This window comes from Homo sapiens, chromosome 5, assembly GCF_000001405.40.
Source record: "Homo sapiens chromosome 5, GRCh38.p14 Primary Assembly".
NCBI classification, from domain to species: Eukaryota; Metazoa; Chordata; class Mammalia; order Primates; family Hominidae; genus Homo; species Homo sapiens.
In genome coordinates, this window is record NC_000005.10 from 11350131 (window position 1) to 11371854 (window position 21724).

At 37.3% G+C, this 21724-nt stretch overlaps 1 protein-coding gene across 12 annotated transcripts in view; it reads right to left on the reverse strand.

Annotated features, from left to right (window-relative positions):
- CTNND2 (catenin delta 2) overlaps window positions 1-21724 on the reverse strand; it is a 932611-nt gene that overhangs the window by 378295 nt on the left and 532592 nt on the right. For 11 of the 12 annotated variants that reach the window (NR_109988.2, XM_017009074.2, XM_017009072.2 and 8 more), the window contains one exon: window positions 14566-14760. Coding sequence is in view for 10 of the 12 variants with exons in the window: in XM_017009074.2 (XP_016864563.1) it covers window positions 14566-14760 (195 nt within the window). In the remaining 2 variants the exon portion in view is untranslated. Of the gene's footprint in view, window positions 1-14565; window positions 14761-21724 lie in introns of those variants that run through there. The other variant, XM_047416777.1, reaches the window with a different exon arrangement.

The window sequence follows — 21724 nt, forward strand, 5'->3', positions numbered from 1 at the left end:
CATCTCAAAAGAAAAAAAAAATTTACACTGTTTCTACTAAAGATACAGAGAAGAGGTGGGTTCCCCCTTTAAATAATTAATAACCTGAACATTATACTGAAAAACATATTACGAGTCGGTATGTTAACTAATTTACACAATTTCTCAATTAAATTGAATTTATTGAGACATGCAAAAAAGTACAAAAATTATGCCAAATAAACCTAACTTTGTTCATTCCTTGGAAAATAAAAAATATATATATAATTATCTTAATTTTATTTTAAACTGTTTTACATTTTAGTTTAACCAGTGATATCACTACTATGAAAAGAGGCTGGGATATGAAATCTAAGATGAGAAACAACTTTCAAAAAGATTATATATTTAAAAAAATCACAATCATGTGTAGTTTCAGCCTTGTCAAATGGTCTTTTAGAACTGTCATTCCCAAATCCATGCTTTAAACTTCTTTTAGGTCATAATAAATAAAACAGCTGATGAAAATTTCAAAATATAAAACCTCAAGCCAAATTGGTGCTGTTATAGTAAAATAAGTTAGAGGCTAATCAATGCAATGAAAATAATGTAAAATACCAGTACAAATGGACAGAAAAACACACTGTATTAAAGGACAGGTTATATAATCATACAGAAGAAAATGTATGAGAATCTAATGGATCTCAAACCAACCATTAGTAATGTAACAATGTAATACCTTACTTTGTAAAAGTATATATGTGAAAACAATTACTTTAAATGAATGAAAATCATTAAAGATCTAATATGTAGAGAATATTAAATAAATGAGCTATTATTATTACCATTAAGAATTTTGAAATCAATCAATATTAGAAAATGGAAAAGTGCGTATGGCATTGAGTAAAATGACATAAAGATTCAGGGTCCAAGTCTCCCATCTGGCCCCAACTATTTAGACATTGATGTGGCTTATGCAATCCTTGGCTCTCCATTAGTATGGATAAATTAATATCAGTCACACTATTAAAAGACTTTCCTTTAATACATTTTTTTCCCTTAATTTCTGGACTGTTGAACACTTTTCCTTATTTGCGTTTTAAAGCTCAGTTGACCAAATCATTCTCCTTGTAGGATTACTCTATCCAATTGAACCCACTCAGGGCAAACACTGGAGAGGGAAGGTGCTTCATCAACTCTGTAAACACACTCCTCTCTCGTCTCACCTGCTCTACAAACAGCCCCTTTTCCCCTCAATAAGCTCTTAGAATTCAATGAACTGTATCACTGGTCTCTTCGGGAGATATAACAAATAGCCACTTCAGCAGCTGACGTGATACTTCAATAGATACCTACGCTTTCATGAAATTATCTGTTTTCTGCAGAGCTGCACAAATAAGGGCCTAGTTTATAAAGGAAAAATAAAGAGATGTTTTACGTTTATGTGCTGTATTTGTTTGAAAAAGGGGAAGAGGCATCCTTTTTAATAAAGTGAAATATTCTGCTTTATGATAGATAATTGCAAGCATTATTTACTGACAATGGAAAAAAGGAGAACAGAATAAAATACAAGAATCTGGGCACACAGTTACAGAAACTTGGTGGGGGGAAATACAAGGTAATGTTCAATAAAGAGGAAGAAAAAAAGCACTACTTTTTGGATTATTTGTCTTTAAGTATATCTGCATATACAGATAAATATGAAAACATTAAGCACATTTACATGTTATGTAAATACAAAATAAGCATATAATAAAGTAATTAAAGAATGTCCCTCTGAAAGTTCAGAAAACAAAAATAGATGAGGTGACAATGGGTCCAAGAAAATGGCCTACATACTTGGAATTCAACTCAGTTTCTTTAGGGATAGGGAAACTCTAGCACCCAATCTGGCATATATCCAAGAGTGTCATCATTAATAACTGAACTATAAACATTTTGCAATTTTCTGTACTCAGCACAAGTTGATCCATCTAAATTCAATGGAAAAATACTCAAGGGTAAATTTGAACATACAAAATTTAAAATAATTGCATACATTACTATCTTTGTGGGGAGAGGCATTTAATGCATGATTCTTAGTAGTAATGGAATAATTGTCATTGGTGTTGACCTTGTTTTCCCTGCTTTTATTGGAAAAGAAGACATTGAAAACACCAGAACAGGCCAAACATGCCTATCACATTGGTTCTCAAACTGAATGTGGGATCATGTGTATGAATATATCATAGATATATTTGAAAGCGAATATGATGTAAAACCCTATCCTTAAATAGCTCTCATAGTTTCCTTCTTGTTATAACCTTGAAAAAATTTAAAAATGCAAGCTCTTCATCTGGATAAATGGCTAATACATGCAGGGTTTAATACCTAGGTGATGGGTTGATGGGTGCAGCAAACCACCATGGCACACATTTATCTACGTAACAAACCTGCATGTCCTGAACATGTATCCTGAAACTTAAACAACAACAAAAAAAATTCAAGATGAGATATAAGGTACTACGGTCATGTTGAAACTTTGAATAACATTTTTGTGATGGTGGTGACTATACTTATCTTAACCAATAGCATTGTAATGAGCAGATAGATTTCTATGTAAGTACAATTTTTAAAAATGCAAGCTCCTCATTAGGTCTTCATGATATAAATTAGCAGGAAAAAAACAACAAATGATTAACACAAAGGATCCTGCTCATTCATTGGCAATAGCTACTACTATTTCTAAGAATGTTATGGCGATATACAGCATAATGGACTTCAGCAGGTTTCTAGAACTTGGTATAAAAATTAAAAATGTAAATAAGCGAATTAATAAAAAAGGAAAGAAAAATAATCCCATGTTTAATCCTACATATGTATGTATTTATATCTATTTAAATGTACATTTAGCACTGTGCATTTTAGTTGTCCTCTAATTTATAGTGTGTGTAACTGGAGTCACGATGAATGATGAAGAGGATGATACACAGTCTTTTTTTTTTTTTTTTTTTTAACCATTCCAAGCACGTTTTCAGCCATCAATGGGAAAGGATAAAAATAAATGCTACATGTATTTGGAGCTTCCCATTGTGCCAACTACCATATTAGGGGCTTCTTCACATGATCTCATTTAATGCTCACAACAGCCTACATGGCAGGTACTACTATCATTAACATCATCCTCATTAGGTCACAGAAGAGCAGTGACAGGACGGTGGGCAGGACTGGGACTGAAATGTAGCAGTGGACTCCAGGGTCTGCGTGTTTTACCCCCTCTCCTCCACTGTTCGGCACTAGAGGTGAGGGCAGGCCTGGTTAATAAAACCTACACATTTTGAAGTGCAATATGTTTGGCAGAAATGCCAGAAAAAGACTAAAATTTAATGTGATATAGAGTGTCACTGCTTAAATCCCTATTACCTAGATAATTGGCTCCATCATAATATTCCTAGGGCTGGGTGCAGTGGCTCACGCCTGTAATTCCAGCACTTTGGGAGGCCAAGGTGGGCGGATCACGAGGTCAGGAGTTCGAGACCAGCCTGGGCAACATGGAGAAACCCCGTCTCTACTAAAAATACAAAAATTAGTTGGGTGTGGTGGCAGGCACCTGTAATCCCAGCTACTTGGGAAGCTGAGGTAGGAGAACCGTTTGAACCCAGGAGGCGGAGGTTGCAGTGATCCGAGATTGTGCCGTCGCATTCTGGCCTGGGCGACAAGAGCAAGACTCCATTTCAAAAAAAAAAAAAACATTGTATTATCATTTTCTTTGGCTTCTTCTTCAGAAAGAAATGCAGAAGAATCTCCTTCAATTGAAGACAGAAAGGGATTAGGGGAAGGTCAATGAATAGAATTTTCCATAAAAATGGAAATAGGATGGTTGGGTGGAGAATGCTAATGTATCCACAGTGGACTTATTTCTTTACCTTGAGTAAGATGAGGGGACCGAGCAAACTCATCACAGGACAAGAGAGAGGCAGGCCAGAAGGAGAGGCTGCATGGGGCAACCTGAGCAGGTTTCCTACCTGCCAATCTCTAGAGAGCCAGATGAGAAGAGATGCATTATTCATGTGGTTTCACACGAGGCTCAACAATGTGGTGATAGAGCTGGTTTTGCTCCCAAACATGAGCTAGTTTGGTGAGAACAGAATTAGCTGTGGAAAAAATCTTCTCTGCCATCTTAAGCACTAAATGATTTTACATCAAGTACTTGGCAATATGTGGTTATGGCATAAAAGGTATATTATATTCTTTATGCATCCAAATGTCCACTGCTGAATAAGAGGCTCAAAAAGAAACTCCAAGGAAGCTTAAGTGTTCAAACAAAATACCTTAGCTGGCTAAGGGCCTTAAATTAGGGATATAGCTTGGAACCTGGTGGATTTAAAACCACAGGTGCTGTGACCCTTTTTATTTTGTAAAAATAAGCATTTCCATGTCAAGCGTATTCCATGCTGATCTTGATCTATTCATTTGTCTATACACTTGCAACATTTCTGAGAACATTTCCACGAACAGTCATATAAATAAATTTTAGAATAAAGAAAATTATTATTAGACCTAAAGGAAGAGATAGACTATAGAACAGTAGGGAACTTCAACCCCCCTTTAAGTGTGGACAAATTATCCAGACAGAAATCAATAAGGAAACATCAGACTTAAACTACGCTCCAGACCAAAGGGACCTAACAGACATTTATAGAACATTCCATCCAACAGCTTCAGAATACACATTCTTCTAAACTGCACATGAAACATTCTCCAGGATAGATCATATGTGGCCACAAACAAGTCTTAACAAATTTAAGAAGACAGAGTCAACATCAAGTATCTTTTCTGACAAAAATGCTATTGAATTAGAAATCAACAAGAAAAACTTTGGAAACTTTACAAATACATGGAAATTAACATGCTCCTGAACCAATCAATCAACAATTTAATGAAATTAAACGGCAAATTAAAAATTTCCTTGTGACAAATGAGGATGGAAACACATCCTACCAAAACCTATGGGACACAACAAAAGCAGTTATAAGAAGGAGTTTATAGCAATAAACACCTATATCCAAAAAGAAGAAAGATTTCTAATAAACAACCTAAAGGTGTACTTCAAGGAACTACAAAAACAAAAACAACCTAAACTCAAAATTGGTAGAAAGAAGAAAACAATAAAGGTGTGTTTATTTTTTCAAAATTCTCAACAAGATACTAGAAATGCAACAGCACATTAAAAAGATCGTTCACTATGATCAAATAGGATTCATCCCAGGGATGCAAGAATTATTTAATACATGTAAATAAATAAATGTGATATATCACATTAACAGAACCAAGGATAAAAACCATATAATCATTTCAATAGATTCTGCAAATAAGTTGATAAAATTCAACATCCCTGCATGATAAAACAAAAAAAAACTCTCAACAAATTAGGTATAGAAAGTGTGTACCACAACACAATAAATTTAAGCCATACATGACAAACCCACAGCTCCACAGCTAATATCATACTGAACAAGGGAAAGCTAATAGCTTTTACTCTAAGGTCAGGAACAAGACAAGGATGCCCACTTTCACCACTTCTATTCAACATAGTACTGGAAGTCCTAGTCAGAGTGATTAGGCAAGAAACAAAAACAAAAGGCATTGAAATTGGAAAGGAGAAAGTCAAATTGTCTCTGTTTGCAGATGGCATGATCATATAAATGGGCAGCCCTAAAGACTCCACACACAAAACAAAGCCTGTTAGAATTAATAAATGAATTCAATAATACTGCAGGACACCAAATCAACACACAAAAATCTGTAGCATTTCTATACACTATCTGTACAGAAATATACTAGCTGAAAAATCAGGAAAATAATTCTATTTATAATATTAATAGCTACAAAAATTAGATATGTAGAAATAAACTTAACCGAGGAGATAAAAGGCCTTTACACTGAAAACTATAAAACTTCAATTAAAGAAATAGAAGAGGACACAAATAAATGAAAATACATCTCATGCTCATGGGTTATAATAATTAGTACTGTTAAAATGGCCACACTACACAAAGTGATCTACAGATTTACTACAATCCCTACCAAAATACCAATGATATTCTTCACAGAAATAGAAAACCTATACTAAAATTGGTATGAAACAAACAAAAAAAGGCCCTTAAGAGCCAAAGCAATCTTGAGCAAACAGAACAAAACTGAAGGCATCACACTATGTGACTTCAAAATATATGACAAAGCTACAGTAACCAAAACAGCACAGCACTAGCAGAAAAACAGACACTAGACTAATGGAAGAGAATAGAGAGTCCAGAAATAAATTCATGCACCTAGAGCCAACTTATTTTCAACAAAGGTACCAAGAACTTACACTGGGGAAAAGATGGTCTTTTCAACAGATAATGCTGAGAAAACTGATATCCACATGCAGAGAATGAGACTAGACTCCTAATTCTCAGCATATACAAAAATCGACTCAAAATGGGTTAAAGACTTAAATGTAAAACCAGAAACTTTGAAACAACTAGAAGAAAACATAGGTAAAATGCTTCACAATATTGGGCTGGGCAAGAATTTTTAAAATAAGACCTCAAATGCACAGGTAGCAAAACCAAAAATAGACGAATTAATACTAATATTAATAGGCAAACTATTAATAGACTGAGAAGACAATCTATAGAATGCGAGAAGATATTTAAAAATGATACATCTGACAAGTGGTTAACATCCAGAATATATAAGAAACTGCAACAACTCAACAGCAAAAAAAAAAAAGTTCCGATTTTAAAATGTGCAAAAGACCTTACTTGACATTTCTCAATACAAGACATACAAATGACCAACAGGTATATAAAAAAAATGCTAAACATAACTAATCATCAGGGAAATGTGAATCAAAACCACAGTGAGATACTACCTCACTCCAGTTAGAATGGCTATTGTCAAAAAGAAAAAGAAAAGTGTTGGCAAGGATGTGGAGAAAAGGGTGCACTTATATACTGCTCATGGTATTATAAACTAGTTAAGCCATTATGGAAAACAATATGTTGGTTCCTCAAAAAATTAAAAATAGAGTTACCATGTGATCCAGCAATCTCACTCCTAGGTATATACCCAAAGAAAATTAAATCAGCATGTTAAAGAGATACCTGTACACTCACATGTTTATTGTAGCACTATTTACAATAACCAAGATAGGGAATCAACCTATGTGTCCAACAATGGGTGAATGGATAGAGAAAATGTAACACATATACAAAACAGAATACTATTCAGACATTTAAGAAAAATGAAATCCTGCCATTTGTGATAACATGGATGAGCCTGGAGGTATCATGCTAAGTAAACTAATCCAGGCACAGAAAGACAAATACCACAGGATCTCACTCAAACATGGAATCTAAAAAAGAAGCTGATATCATAGAAGCAGAGAGTAGAATAGTGGTTACCAGAGACTAGGGAGGGGAGGAGGATGAACAGGGGAGAGAATGGCCAATGGGTACAAAGTTACGATGAGATAGGAAAAGTGAATTCTGGTGTTCTATTGCATAGTAGGGTGACTATAGTTAACAGTAAAATATTGTATATTACAGAATAGCTAGAAGAGAGGCTTTTGAATGTTCTCACCACAAAGACATGACAAACGCATGTGGTGATGGATACACACACTGCCCTGACTGGATCATTAGTATACAGCATACACATGTATCAAAACATCCAATTGTATCCCATGAACATGTACATGTGTCATTACAATGTGTCAACTAAAAAATTAAATAAGTAATTTTTTAAAATTTGAGAGCTTTTTCTATTATAATTTTAAGTGATAGAGCATGTCTGGTGTTGAGGGCAGAATCTGCTAATGTGTAATTATGGTTCCATAGTGCTGTATCTTCGGGTAATGTCTTAATTATTCTTAAGTTCCAACTTTTGGTATTATATTATATGAAGCCCCATTCAATGTGCCGTTGAAATCTCATACTTGGCTTCTATTCTTTTCAACATTGCTACGCTTAATGATGTAATTCCACGTATGAGGTGACACATCTTCCAGTAATTGGGGTGCATCATCCAGGTCAAGGCCAGCTGTGTAATTTTCAGTATGTGTATCCCTAGTTGACATGACATTAATAAACATGGTTTCATGATCTATTTGTACAAAAGTATGACAGTTATGATATTTTTGAATTTTACCAATAAACTGTTCTCCCATCAAACACTCTGTCTTCCTTCAACTAAACAATTAGACTTCTTATTTATACCTTTTTAAGTGAATCCACACAGGTAAGCATCTGAAAGTTCTCTTTGGTTCTAAGATGACATTTATCGTTGGGTTGATATAAAATTTCTAACTGGGTAACAACAGGCATTTAACTTTTTAGCCTAAGAAAAGTGAAAATTTTAACTAATAGGTTATAGAGAATCTTATTTGACTTGCTCCAATAGGAAGCACTTGATTTAAAAATTTTAAGTAACAGCTCTTAATAAGTAATAAACTGCTGATAATTCACATCTTTGTGAACTCAAATAATTTTAATTAAAATATTTTTGATACTGGACTATTATTTATATCACAATGAATAACAGTAATAAGATTTTATGAATATGCAGGTCCTATGTAATCCCTCTATCGCTTCATTAAACACTGGCTATTCTTGCAGAGGATTACGTTTTTTTTAGAGACTATTTTCTCTACATGTGTAACTATTTCACCACATTCTTTTTTCTTTTTATGTTGCAGTACTTGTCATCTTCATGAAGATATTTAGCAAGTTTGCTCCTTGCAACATATCTATGATAATTCTTTCTTTATTACAAGCTGACACATACATCACAGAAAGCTTGTTTTCAACACTCAGTTTGAATAGCATTTATCCAAAAGAAAATCCATCTGACTATCATCACAGCAGACGTTGGCCATTTCTACTGGTTTATAAAAATGTGTTTAAGGGGTTGTCAGAGTCAAGTGTTTGTGTTGGTCAAATAACTCCTAAATTGACAGTCATTCATACATTTGAGTTTGAAATAAAAATTCATGTTATTTATTTCTGCTTAATAGACTTTACCACAAGCAAATTCATGAGGCCCACACATTCCTTGTTTCACTGTACTCCTTATTTTATAAGCTCTGGTTTTGACAAGCCTCATCTCACATGAAATGTATATTTTATCTAAATAGACACCTTAGTTAAAATTGTATCTCTTTACATTTTCATCATGCAAGAGGTATAAATGCCCAAATATTAGGGGGATGGTCATGTAAAAGTAAGTCTGTCATTTCTGCTGCAGTTCACACAATTCTGCCTCCTCATCTAGGGAAAGGACACTGGTGGCCTTCCTCTCTGTTATACTACCCGCCTCCCCCTGTTAATGGTCCTGCAAGAAAGATGTGGCTGTCATGTCTGGTGATGGGTACTCTCCGGGAGCTCTGTTGACCAGGGACCACTCTGTGGCACAAAGTGACCCTTTCACCTTTTCCTAGGCTGCCAGATCTCTGGAGCCACCATGCTGGCTCTGTCTCCCTCTTGGAGTCCTCGGGCAGGTGGGCACTGCTGTACTTTCTATCTGCCTCCCTGTTCAAAGCACTTTCTATCTGTCTCTCTATTCAAAGCCTGGGGCCAGGGATGCAGGCATTGCTGTCCCCAGAGCCCATACCCTTCTGCTGGGCCTAGTAGGGGACAAAGGTCTTTGGCTCTTATCTTGCAATGGCTGGCAGACGTAGGTCTGGGGCAGGAGGATGGAGAACCCCTTTAGACCATGTTCTCTAACACAGCCTTGGGTGATGGCATGCCTGTTCAGCTTCATGAAATCCTATTGTCAATAGTGAAATTTGTTTCTGTCACCATCCACAAGCCTGGAGTAGAGGAGAGGTGAGGAGTAGGACTTGGGTACCCTGCTCCTTGGACATTACATAGATGTTCCTATATGCATGCTCAGGAGGTCTCTAACATTATGGCTAGGTAGCTTTTTGGGTTAGGAAAGCCTGGAGGACCTGTTTGATTACAAAAAGGTAGACAGTAGTGCGCATCTGAGTTGGTACCCAAGATTTAAATTAGTCTTCATAATAAAGTAACAGGCATGGATGGATTACTTATGACAGCTAAGAAGAAAAGAGAGATGAAGAAGGAAGGTCTAGAGGAGAGATAGGAAAAGATGGTGGTAGGTGGAGTCTAAGGGGAAAAGCTAATTGAGAAATCCTCTTTGGTGGGAAAGTTAAGAGATCTAACATATCTTATCTTCAATGTCTGAAGTTTTTTTTCTGGTCTTCTCTGTGCAGTTATCTCCCTGACTATCTCTCAGCCCTAGAATGGTCTCTTACTCATGTTAGCCTTAGTGGTGTTTTGAGTAAGGAAAGCCCAGGGGTGAGGTCAGCATGGGGCAGAGCAGGGCAGAAAGAGTAGAGTGGCCACTAGAGCCAGAGTCATGCCCATGAACCCGAGCTGGTAGAGCGTACAGCTGTAGCACCGAATGAGGAGTGATCACACTCATACCTTCCCTTGGTGTGATTCCATCCAAATCCACACCTTTCCATGCCCCAACTTGCTACCCACAAAAGAGAGGAAGGCCACTTTAGTAGGGACATGAGCAGGAGAGTGAAGGGCAACTCAATCCCTCATTTCAATGTCTTCAGGTTTTTTTTGGAATATGCATGTAGCCTATATGATATTACCTTCCAATACCGGTTAATTTTTCAGATGTTTATGTCTTTCTCTGAAACAAAATTGAACATGCTTAAGGACAAGGAGTAGATTTTAAGCCTCTTTGAATCCGCCAGTACATCTAGCACACAGAGTATCTTAAACAGATATTATTTAACAGGATATAGAAGACCATTAAGCTCCACAGATGAAAATAAATGTCTATCTATTTTGTTTTTAAATGATGATTTTTACCAATGCAGTCAACGAAGCCCAGGATCTAGGGTAAGACTGCCTACGTATGAAAGTTTGTTTATTTATTTATTTATTTAGATGGAGTTTCACTCTTGTTGCCCAGGCTGGAGTGCAGTGGCGCGATCCTGGCTCAGCGCAACCTCCATCTCCTGGCTTCAAGTGATTCTCCTGCCTCAGCATCCCGAGTAGCTGGGATTACTGGCGCCTGCCACCATGCCCGGCTAATTTTTGTATTTTTAGTAGAGACGGGGTTTCGCCATGTTGGCCAAGCTGGTCTCAAACTCCTGACCTCAAGTGATCTACCCACCTCGGCCTCCCAAAGTGCTGGGATTACAGATGGGAGCTACTGCTCCAGGCCTATTTATTTATTTTTAATAGAGATAGGGTCTGACTATGTTGCCCAGTCTGGTCTTGAATTCCTGGGCTCAAGCGATTCTCTCATCTAGGCCTCCCAAAGTGTTGAAATGATAGGTGTGAGCCACCATGGCCAGCCTGTGTGAAGGTTTAAAGACTGGTTCCACACAACCCGTGTGACCTTCGCATATTACTCAACATCTCTGTGCCTCGGTTTTCTGATCCAAAAAGCAAGCACCGAGCATCATAACAGCATCTCCTTCCAAGGATTGTTCTGGTGGTTGGTAAAATACCCAAAGCATTTGGCACACTCCCTGGAAGAAGTTACAAGCTAGATGCTTCCCCACCAAAGGGGATTTCTCAGTTAGCTTCTCCTTTTAGGCTCCACCTACCACCATCTTTTTCTATCTTTCCTCCAGCCCTTTATTCTTCATCCTACCTTTGTTTATCTGGCCTCACATGCTTGTTTCAATGACACCGTCTAATAATTCCCTAACTGTTGAGGCATGTCTACTTTTCTTCATTCCCAAGTGTTGACCCCTTGAAGGGAAGCAACTGGTCTTCGATCTTTCTGCCCCACTTCTCTTGCAGTATCATCTGGAAATGCCTTATGAATTGTACTGAAAGACCTCCACCTGGTGGTCTATTCTTAAGGGCAGAAAGATAAGACCAGTTGCTCGGGTGCCCTCAGCCACTCATCTGAGCTAAGAGCCAGAGACCATGAACATTTTCAGGCTGGTAGGCCTCATAAGAACCTGTCCTCTTCTTTCAAGGAGTTAGGGTGTCTGCTTTAGGCCTGCAAACCTCTTAGAGTTCTGTATCAGTGGTCTCCAGGGTAGCGGTATGTACAACACAGATGACCCCCACAAAGATATTGGGAAGCAAACTTAGAATGTTTTTTTACGGCTACTGGATAACTATATTTAATCCTTACTTCTTTGTAATCTCCATTTTTATGGGTGTTATTCTAGACAGAATTTAATAATATTATATATGATGTCTTTAATATCTAAATAAAAAGACATATACACATATTAAAGGCATTTTCTCATACATGCAGGTTGTGATACAGTTTCTGTGGCTGTGAAAATGTGAAGACATGAAATTATATGAATTAGGTATAGACACAGGGGTAACCTTGGTGGATGCAGGGAAGACAGAGTTTGCGGCTTTATGCTTAGGAGCTGGAGAGAGGTAGTTTCTCCTCCTCCACTTGTGGTCCTAAGAGGTCATCCAAGCACTTCTGGAAATTTCCATAGTATTACGTCAATCAGCATGTTTTCTCAAAATTGCCTTAAGTTCAAAGGTGCAGGCTGGGTTGGGGTCTTGGACATCTGAATGTCACAATCATAGCACATCTCTGCCACATTTATTACCAGGAAAAGCCCCCAGCAAATGGGTTTCACCTTTGAAGCAGTTAGAAGGTTACTATTGCCTCCCTCATAGGCGGTAGGAAAAAAACACTTGTTCATTCTGGATAGCTCTCCATTGACCGCTTGGAGCAGGAGACGACAAATTTTTCCTGTCAAGGGCCAGATAGTAAATATTCTTGGTTTTGCCAAGAGTCTCTGTCACGGGCACTCCACTCTGCCCCTGCAGGGCCCAAGCCACCATGGATGATACATAAATGAATGGGTATGGCTGCATCTCAGTAACGTTATTTATGGATACTGAAGTTTGAATTTCATATAATTTTCACATATTACAGAACATTAATCATCTTTTGATTTTTCCCCCCAATCATTTAAAAATGCAGTCATCATTCTTAGCTCATGGGCACTACTAAAGTAGATTGGTGAGCTACAAATGGCCCATGGGCCATTGTTTGCTGATGCAGACTCAGAAAAAACACTATCACACTAGAGTTTTCTTTTTTTAAGTATGGATATCTTCCCTGTGTTTAATGTGATATAGATGAATTAAAGTTTTTTTTTCTTATGTAGCTAATTTTTCATTAAATTCCTGGAAGTTTATTAATAAAGGATAATTCTAAGAACATGTGAATATGGAATAGAGAATCAACATAATCTCTTTTGTCAGTTTTTATTCAAATTAGATATTGAATGTCACTGTGGTTATCTTCTTCTTTTATAAGATGTGCATAAAAATAAAATTACCTTACTTAAAAACATGCAAACATTAAATGCTAAAGTAGCCCAACTCCAAGCAGGAGTGGATCTAACAGGCTGAAGGTGAAAAAAATTCTGACAGAAGAACAAATAGGCATTCTTTATCATCAAAACCAAGATATGTATTATTAATATTGGGTGGCATTTATGATGTCAAAAATAAAATAAAGAGTATTTTGTGCCTTTCTCCCTATGATTCAGTGAAATACTGAAATGTAAATATCAATAATCAACTATAAAAGCAGCTTGGCTTGCCTTGATTTCAAAGCATGTAATTTAGCACCATAAGGCAGTTTAAGAAAATTGCTATGCTCTACTTAGTGGTCACTAGAAATTCCAGTAGTCTGAGGATGTAGAGATCTGCGTGCCAGGTTCTGAAGCAGAGAGCCAGCTCTGCCAGCCTCAGTCCCTGCCGGAGCTCATATATATCATTAGGAAAGAAGGAGAGAGCTGTACTGTCTGCAGACCAGCAACACAGTCATTCCAGTTTACTTAGCAATGTGCAGCTTGATAATAAATGCAATTCTCAACCTGTTTTTAATTATATCGATTTTGGAGTTAAGATAAGTGTTCTCTAGCAATCTAATTATGACATTTGACAGATTATGTTGCAAATGGCTCCAGATACTGGAAAACACTTGCGTTTTGTCGTGTGATCTGTGGTTGTATTCAATTGAAAATATATATTTAATCCAGGAGAGCTATATAACTGATTGAACCATTTGCAATTGCCAACATCCAACCTTCACACAATAATTTTGTGATTCAATCTATTAGTGTATATGAAATAAATTGTCTGCCTTTCAAAATATGCTACATGTTTAGTAAATATGTTTTTGTTCCAAGCTTGCCAAATAGGTAGACAATATCATGAAAAAAACACTTACCATCATCAAGCATACGTCTTTCACGTCCTACAAATGACTACGTCCTTGGGGTACTTAGATTCATTACGTAAGTGAATAACGATGGGCTTAACATTAGTATTGCTTCTTTCAATTTTTCTCTTTGACAAAATGAGCTTACAATCGCCATTTGCTTCCTTTCATTCAGATTATACCAAGGTAGCCTGAATTAAAGTCATATTCTGTTTCTACCATTATCATTACAGACATTGATAGAAGCAGGTCACAGTGCTTGTGGGGATAGTGGACACAGACACACACCTTTCATTTGGGAGTGTTATTGAAGCTCCCGCGCAGAGCCCACCCCCTGTGGACAGGCCACCCAGTGGGGTCCTGATTACACACCTGTGCTCGTGCGGTAGGTGCCGGTGTGTGCTGGCGGCAGAGGGTCCCCCTGGCTCTGGCTGAGACTCCTCATAGGGGGCTTCTGATAGACGCGGTCTTCATAGATGGGATCTATGTGGTGTTCTGGGGACTGCAGGGCCCGCAACTCTGGGCCCAGGTGCCCATGCTGGCTGCTGTATGAGGCTCGGGAACCAGCTGAAATAAATCAACAGAGGGACATCAAAGCTCAGGCGACCTCCAAACAGAACTTGTTTAATCAAAGACATATTCAAATTTTTTTGGACAAAATTGTTGAAATTCCCAGGAAACCAAATGAATAGCATGAAATGGCAGCAATATGTCAACCTAATCAGCCTGTCGGCATCACCCAGCTGCCTGGCTTTGCGACCAAACATGATCTCACTCTAAAAATGACAACGTTTCTGAGATAAACCCACATGGAACAAGACCAGTGAAATGTTATTTTTCTCAAAACCTAATGAATGTAGCTAGGTTCTTCACTAAAGGAATCAGGTAGATAGTCAGTCCTAAAAATCTGTTATTAGCCCATAGCCCTTGCACCTTAAATTGTACAATAGAAATTATTTTAAATGGCGAGCCACAATGGCAAAGCCATCTTGATGTTGTTCCTAAAAAGTGAACTAGAAATTGTTCCCATCAGCAGTTTTTCCCTGGGAAAAGGATAAAGCAAAATGTTTGAACTTACAACAGCCTAAATCCCCGAGAGAAGCAGATATTAAAGAAAGAGGTTTCAAGTTATATTTTCCTTTACTCTGACCCTCTAAATTGAAGCATTTACATTTAGCCTGCCTCTCTCTGAAAAAGTTAGGAATGATTGCCACTAACTGGTTTAATGTATAAATTGCGGCTACACACCACTTTGCTTTGTAGTATTTATAAATCCTTATTTGTGTCACTTCATTGCATGATATGGGAAGAGGTGTTGATGTGAGGCAATGCTATGGACCAGAGAATCACGAGAAAGTCTCTGAAGAAAGGAAGCCTCTGTACATCAGGAAATAAGACTTTAGTGAGGGTGAAGAGGCTGGCTTGACAGACAGGAAAGAGGACGTTGATTGAGAGCCAATATTTTATCTGACGTACAGTCAGAACCACTGGAGCAGAAACGTCACGAAAATCATTTGCGTTGGGGCAATGAGATGGCCTTGGGGCATCAAGGAGAGGTGGCATCTTCCATGTTGAATACAGAACACGGACAAGAACCAAAGGAGACAATGGCTGATTTTGGGAATGAGCCTTCAGCTACATCCTACAACTAATCCCCACATGGCGTAATGGGATTTAACTGGCAACTGTCTTTCAGCAGCCCTAGTTCAGCCTCTCTATTCCGGACTAACATATCAGGGTGCTGGGATTCCTTGATCTTGGCCATGTCGGGACAGCTCTCCTTCCATTTTGCCTTCCTCAAGGACCACTTCAAAGCCAAAGTCTTCAAATGCTGGATGTTAGGTCTGTTTTGTCAGGAACATATAAACTCAAAATTGTAATATTCTTGTCTAGAATATTTGAGAAAAAAAGCCATTGTAAAGTTTTAAAATTGCCAATAGAAAAATGTTTTACTGGTATATTTAACGTGGGCTACTTTAAATTTAAGTACACAGAGAACAGTATTCCTGAATAATTGGAGAAGTGGTGAGAATTCTATGAATTCAGTGTTAATAAAAACCACTGAGTATTTTGAGGAGGAGAAAGGGACAGGGCAGGCAAGTTCCTTACCATTCTCTTTGCTGGTAATTAAATTCTGATTTAGATAGCGCTCCGATGAATGACAGATTCAAAGTAACTGTTTTGCATAATTAGGTTCATCGCATCTGATCTGTCAAATGCCAACATCACTCTGAATATTACCTCAAGCTTAAATTTTCCAGGAATATATTTAAGTACAGTATGCTTTGAGTTCCTGTTGTCAATTCTTATTCCTGAAGGTTTTGAAAATATTGCTAAGGATTTAAAAATGTAAAAATAAAAAAAAAAAACAGTCATCACATCCAAATGCAGAGATAAATAAAAGTTATCCATCACTGGTACATTTAGAATTGTTACTTTATCACTATTCCTTTATTCTAAGCCTCAAAAAAACATCCAATGATGACCAATGAGAGGATCTGCTGAACTTTTAAGTGGTAACATGGTCTTAGGCTATATGTAAAAATCCTCTTATTACATGCATTTATTTGGCATTCAGAAATTTTCATTAGTGGCATTAATCAAATTGATGACCAAGGGTGCTAGGCAAGGAAGAAGAATCTTAAGGTAAAGTCTACCTATGTGGATATCAGTCTTTTGATGTGCTGATATTATTACGAATATAATAATCAAATTAACTATCTGAATAGGATACTATACTTTTTTACATATTAGAGGGCTCTGAGTAAAACTATAAGCTCATAGTGTTTCCCTGTGTAAATGCTTGTGCAAAATACAGTTGCATATGTAAGCCTTATGCATAGTTCTGAATCAGATAAGGCATTTTAAAAAGAACATTATTTACACTTCTTTTTATCCACTGTGATCAAGTTTTGATTGCTCAAGGGTGGGCACAGTTATTGGCAAGAGAGACACAGAGAACTATGGGAAAGAAAAGGGCCAAGGAAACAAAGGTTAAAGATGTCACTGCTGGAATTCATGTGTTCAACCGCCCGTGTTCAAGAAAGAACATTTTAGATCCATATGAACAAGGCCTATTTTATTTGGGGCAATTTCAAGAAAAAATTCTCACACAATGTTTTCTGGGAATCTGCTACAAAATGTCATTAGATGGTGTATATATTTGCTGATTCAAATTAAATGTCCTTTTGTTTAGTAGTAATTTTTTTCATCATTATGGTCTATTTGAAAGTGAATCTCAAGCGTCACACTGGACTCAAAACGTCATTCATGAGAATTTACATCTTTGCCAGGGACTGGAACTCTGTTATTATAATAAGAAAAAATGTTGGAGAAAATTCAACTTTGTCTAAAATGTTATAGATGTCAAGGCCAAATGTTCTTGCCAATTATGCTGGTGCAGAACAATCCTGGGAACCTGGCCTTGACCAAGACCCTGCAGGATGGCAAAGTGCAATCAAAACATGGATGAGCCAAAGAGAAAAGGGGAAGTAGATCCACAGACCAGACCAACTTTCCTGATGGTTTCCCCTGCCATGACAGACATAATGTCATGCAATCATAATCCCTGTGTCTATAAAGCATTTCATGACCAATTACCGCAACAATTCCTACATCATCCAGCATTAACGTCTCAATTTTATAATAGGGTTTTGCTCTTCCTATTTCTTCTCTTCACAGGGCAAAACTGGGGCCTAGAGAGCTCAGGCACTGGCAATTTTTCATATACAATGCGTTTCTGAAAATGAGCTTGAAGACTCACAGCTGAAACATGGGTACTTGGCTTACAGGTTAAGGAAGATTTCATGATGCAGGAGGACTAAAGGGTATTGGAATTTCCCTAGATATGTTCTGTGCTGGGTGCTGCTCCTATAGGTTCAGAGAGCCCCCCAAAACTGGGAAGGGCTTTCAAGCTGATCTAGGACTAAGCCTGAGGCATTTGCTGTATAAGAACTACCACATATCCTGTCATGGAACCTCAGAGCCATCTCTTCTTCACCACAGCTACAGGTGACCTGAATGGATGCTTAAACAGCTCAGAACCTACCTGACTACTGACCACTTGGCTGTGGGGTTGGTGTTGGGGGAGCGAGGAAAGGGTTCAGTCCTATGGCAGGGAGGGAGGTATAGATTCTAGGGACCCAGAGAGGTGGGCAGAAGGGACCACTGGAGAATGAAGGGACACAAGACCTCAGACATCCCCTGCTTCTATGTTGACACGTTTAATCCTTGGCTCTCATTTCCATGTACAACTACTATGAAGAATCATGACAACATGGCTCAGCCTCAAATTCTACACATGAAAGGTGGCCTCAGGGTGTTGATGTTCAATAGTTTGAGGTAAACAGAAATGGTATCTAAAGTAGTAATTTTCCTGCTGTTTCTTGTGTCACTTTTGCCCACAGAACTTGAAATAAGAATATGTGAATTCTGTCCCAGATCTGTCTCTAACCAGTTGGATAAACCCAGGAAACACACCAAACTCTTTGATCCCCAGTTTCCTCAAGTGTAGAAACAGAGATAATAATATAAATGGTATTGTTGGAGGGTCAGATGAGAGAGACTATGTGTGAAAGTGCTCTGCAATTGATAAAGCCACATCAAAATAGGTGTCCTCATGCCAATGAATCTTTGAATCAATAAATTATGTCACCTCATGCAAATATATCTTTTGATTTGACAAAATAGTTGAATACCTCTTACCATAAACTATCCAAATTTCAAAAACAAGTTGAAGATTTCATTTTGAAATAATCTAAATAACAACCATTTTTCTGATAATTCTGTGAAGTATTATTGCAAAATGTGAATGTTATAGTTTTATCTTTTCTTAAAAATGTGTGCTTTCTAATGGATTATTGCAAAAAATGTAGGAATGAATGACGTTCATAAGGAAAGAAAACACTGAAATGACCACAAAAAGGTGACATCCTTTTTAGAAAGGAATAGGGCATAAATTAAATCTCCAAATTGAAAATAACAAATACCTGCTAATTCAGTAGGAAGCCAGTGACAGATCTCAGGGGGTTCTTGACACAGAAAATAATTACAAGGCTGAAAAGGGCTACATATGGCTCACCGCCTTGTGTCTTGCCTGTTCCTGTTCCACACCATGTTTTCCTTGAGTCAACAAGGCTCTGTTTTCATTTGGCCAACAAAACAATGTATTTATTATTTTTGGAACGATTTGTAACTAAATTTCTATGTACTAGATTTTACATCTATCATTTGTAGGTACTAGTTAATCCTATGGATCTATATATTCATTCAACACATTCAACAAGTGCCTGGGAACCTCCAGGAGTTGAGGATGTCCTAGTGCTCAAAACAGACAAGGTCCCTGGCTTTGAAAATAAGTTATTACATGCAGGAGGATGGAGGTAAAGGTGTTGAAGAAAAATGAGGCAGGGCAGTGAGAAAAGAGATAAAGTGTCAGGAGGTTGTGGTGTTGGGATAGGGGGATCAAGAAAGTTCTTTCTGAGCACCTGACATTTTAGCAGAGAGCTGCAGACAGTAAGAGAATGAGCCTCACTGGAGAAAGAGCTGTATGGTTCTCAGGCGGAGGGAACCAGCAGCAGACACGAAGGGTCCCTCCGGGATTTCAGAATATACACAGAAGTGATTTTATGTGTACTGAAACCACATCATCTTTAAAAGAAATACCAGTAAGTATATGAAATCTTTACGAGTTCATACTACAATTGATTGGACGAATGAAAGGATTTTTTTAACTCAAAATTTCAAAATCACGGAAACACATTTTTATTAGAAGGATTTGCAGCATTCAATGGGAGATCACATAACCTTGGGAGAACTGCATAGCTGAAAATTCAGCTCCAACTACTTGGGTTTTTTTTTTTTTTTTACATTTCAATTTTCATTCCTTAGAATAGGATTAATTCTCAAATCTTAGTTTATTCCTCAAAGAATCATCTAGAAAACTTGCTGAAAATGCTGACTTCTGAATACAACCCCCAAGAGATTCTGATTAGGTCAGCCAAGTGGGATGCATCAATGCACATTTTAATGGGCACCCCCGAGCCTCCTGGTTCTAATGCTGGGATCACACTGTGAGCCATCCTGTCCCAAATAAAGGAGAAAAAGAGGAGATGGGCATATTTATTTTCAAAAAATAAGCATCTAATGTGTTACACCTTCCATTTATCATTTGTTGCTTTATTCAAACAATTCCACTTAATACAGGTTATGCCAATTATTTTACTACATTAATAAAACAGGTCCATGCTGGATTTTTTAAATTGGAATCCATTCATATTATTTTATTTATATACTCTATAATCTATGACTCTCTAATTTAATGCAAATTCACCTGCCTTTACAAAGAAATATATTTTTCCATGTTTTCATTTTGCAGTATCAATATAGTTTATAAGGACATACTGCTATGTAACTGGTGTCTTCAAATTTAGCATCCAGTTTCAAATGCTTATTTGCAAAGAAATGGAGGGAGAAAAAGAAGGGTCTAAATGACATAGTATTCACATAGCCAGAGTGAGCAGGCTTAATGTGTTTGTGAACAGTTCTTTCATTATTGAGATAAAGTGCTGTTGTATGGAGAAAAAAGTAAATTTCTTATGATATGAAGAAAAATCCAAAATAAAATTGAGGTTTTTAAAAACTGTAAGGTCAGTTAATGCACTGATAATTATTAACGAAACTACAACTTTGAAGGGCAAAAGGGAACTTCTATAGAGAAGGGTGGGGCCTGGACTAGATGCCAATTTTTCCCTTGCAAATCTACACTGCTGTTGTTCCTTTGTGGACATCCTGATTTTAGGGGTATGTCCCATGATGATAGGTCAGCATCGCTAGGCAACATGGCTTTGCAGGTAGTCAGCCTGTACTCTATGATAGTTGATGGCTTTGAAATAGCTATTTTCTGGACTTTGAACCTCTTAAAATGTTTGGCTTGATACCTGTTATCATGAAACTCCAAGGGGAAAAGGTGATATCAGCATATAAACACTTTGAGATATACAAAAACTAACATAACTTTGGTTAACATTATCTCAGAAATGTGTACTAGGTAAATTGTTGAGAGGTGCAAATATTACATCTTAGATCTGAAGAATACCTCATCATAATAAAACTTATCTCAAAGAAGGCACATTAAGAAAGGTGTGCCTCAAATGCTACTTCAGGAGTATCCATGAGGAACTGGGCACATTCACATCCTTCCTTCTGAACTCTGTTTCCTGAGATTGACTTGTTTTATTCTTGATTTTTGCTTTTGACCTAAATCAAAACTCCAAAGTCTCCTTCCTAATCCTATGTTAATTCAAAACTTAAATTTGCTATTTAAAGGGCCCCAAAATATTTTCCTATGTATTCTGAATCAAGCCTATCAACTGAATTTCATTTGCAAATGATCATTACTTTGTTGTAATTAATTTGACATCTTATATCATGTTGTTATAAATGCAAAGATATAAAGACACATTTCTCATATAGATTGAGTCGTATTTCAGACTTACGTTTGGAAGGAACATTGTTAATTCATATGATTTCA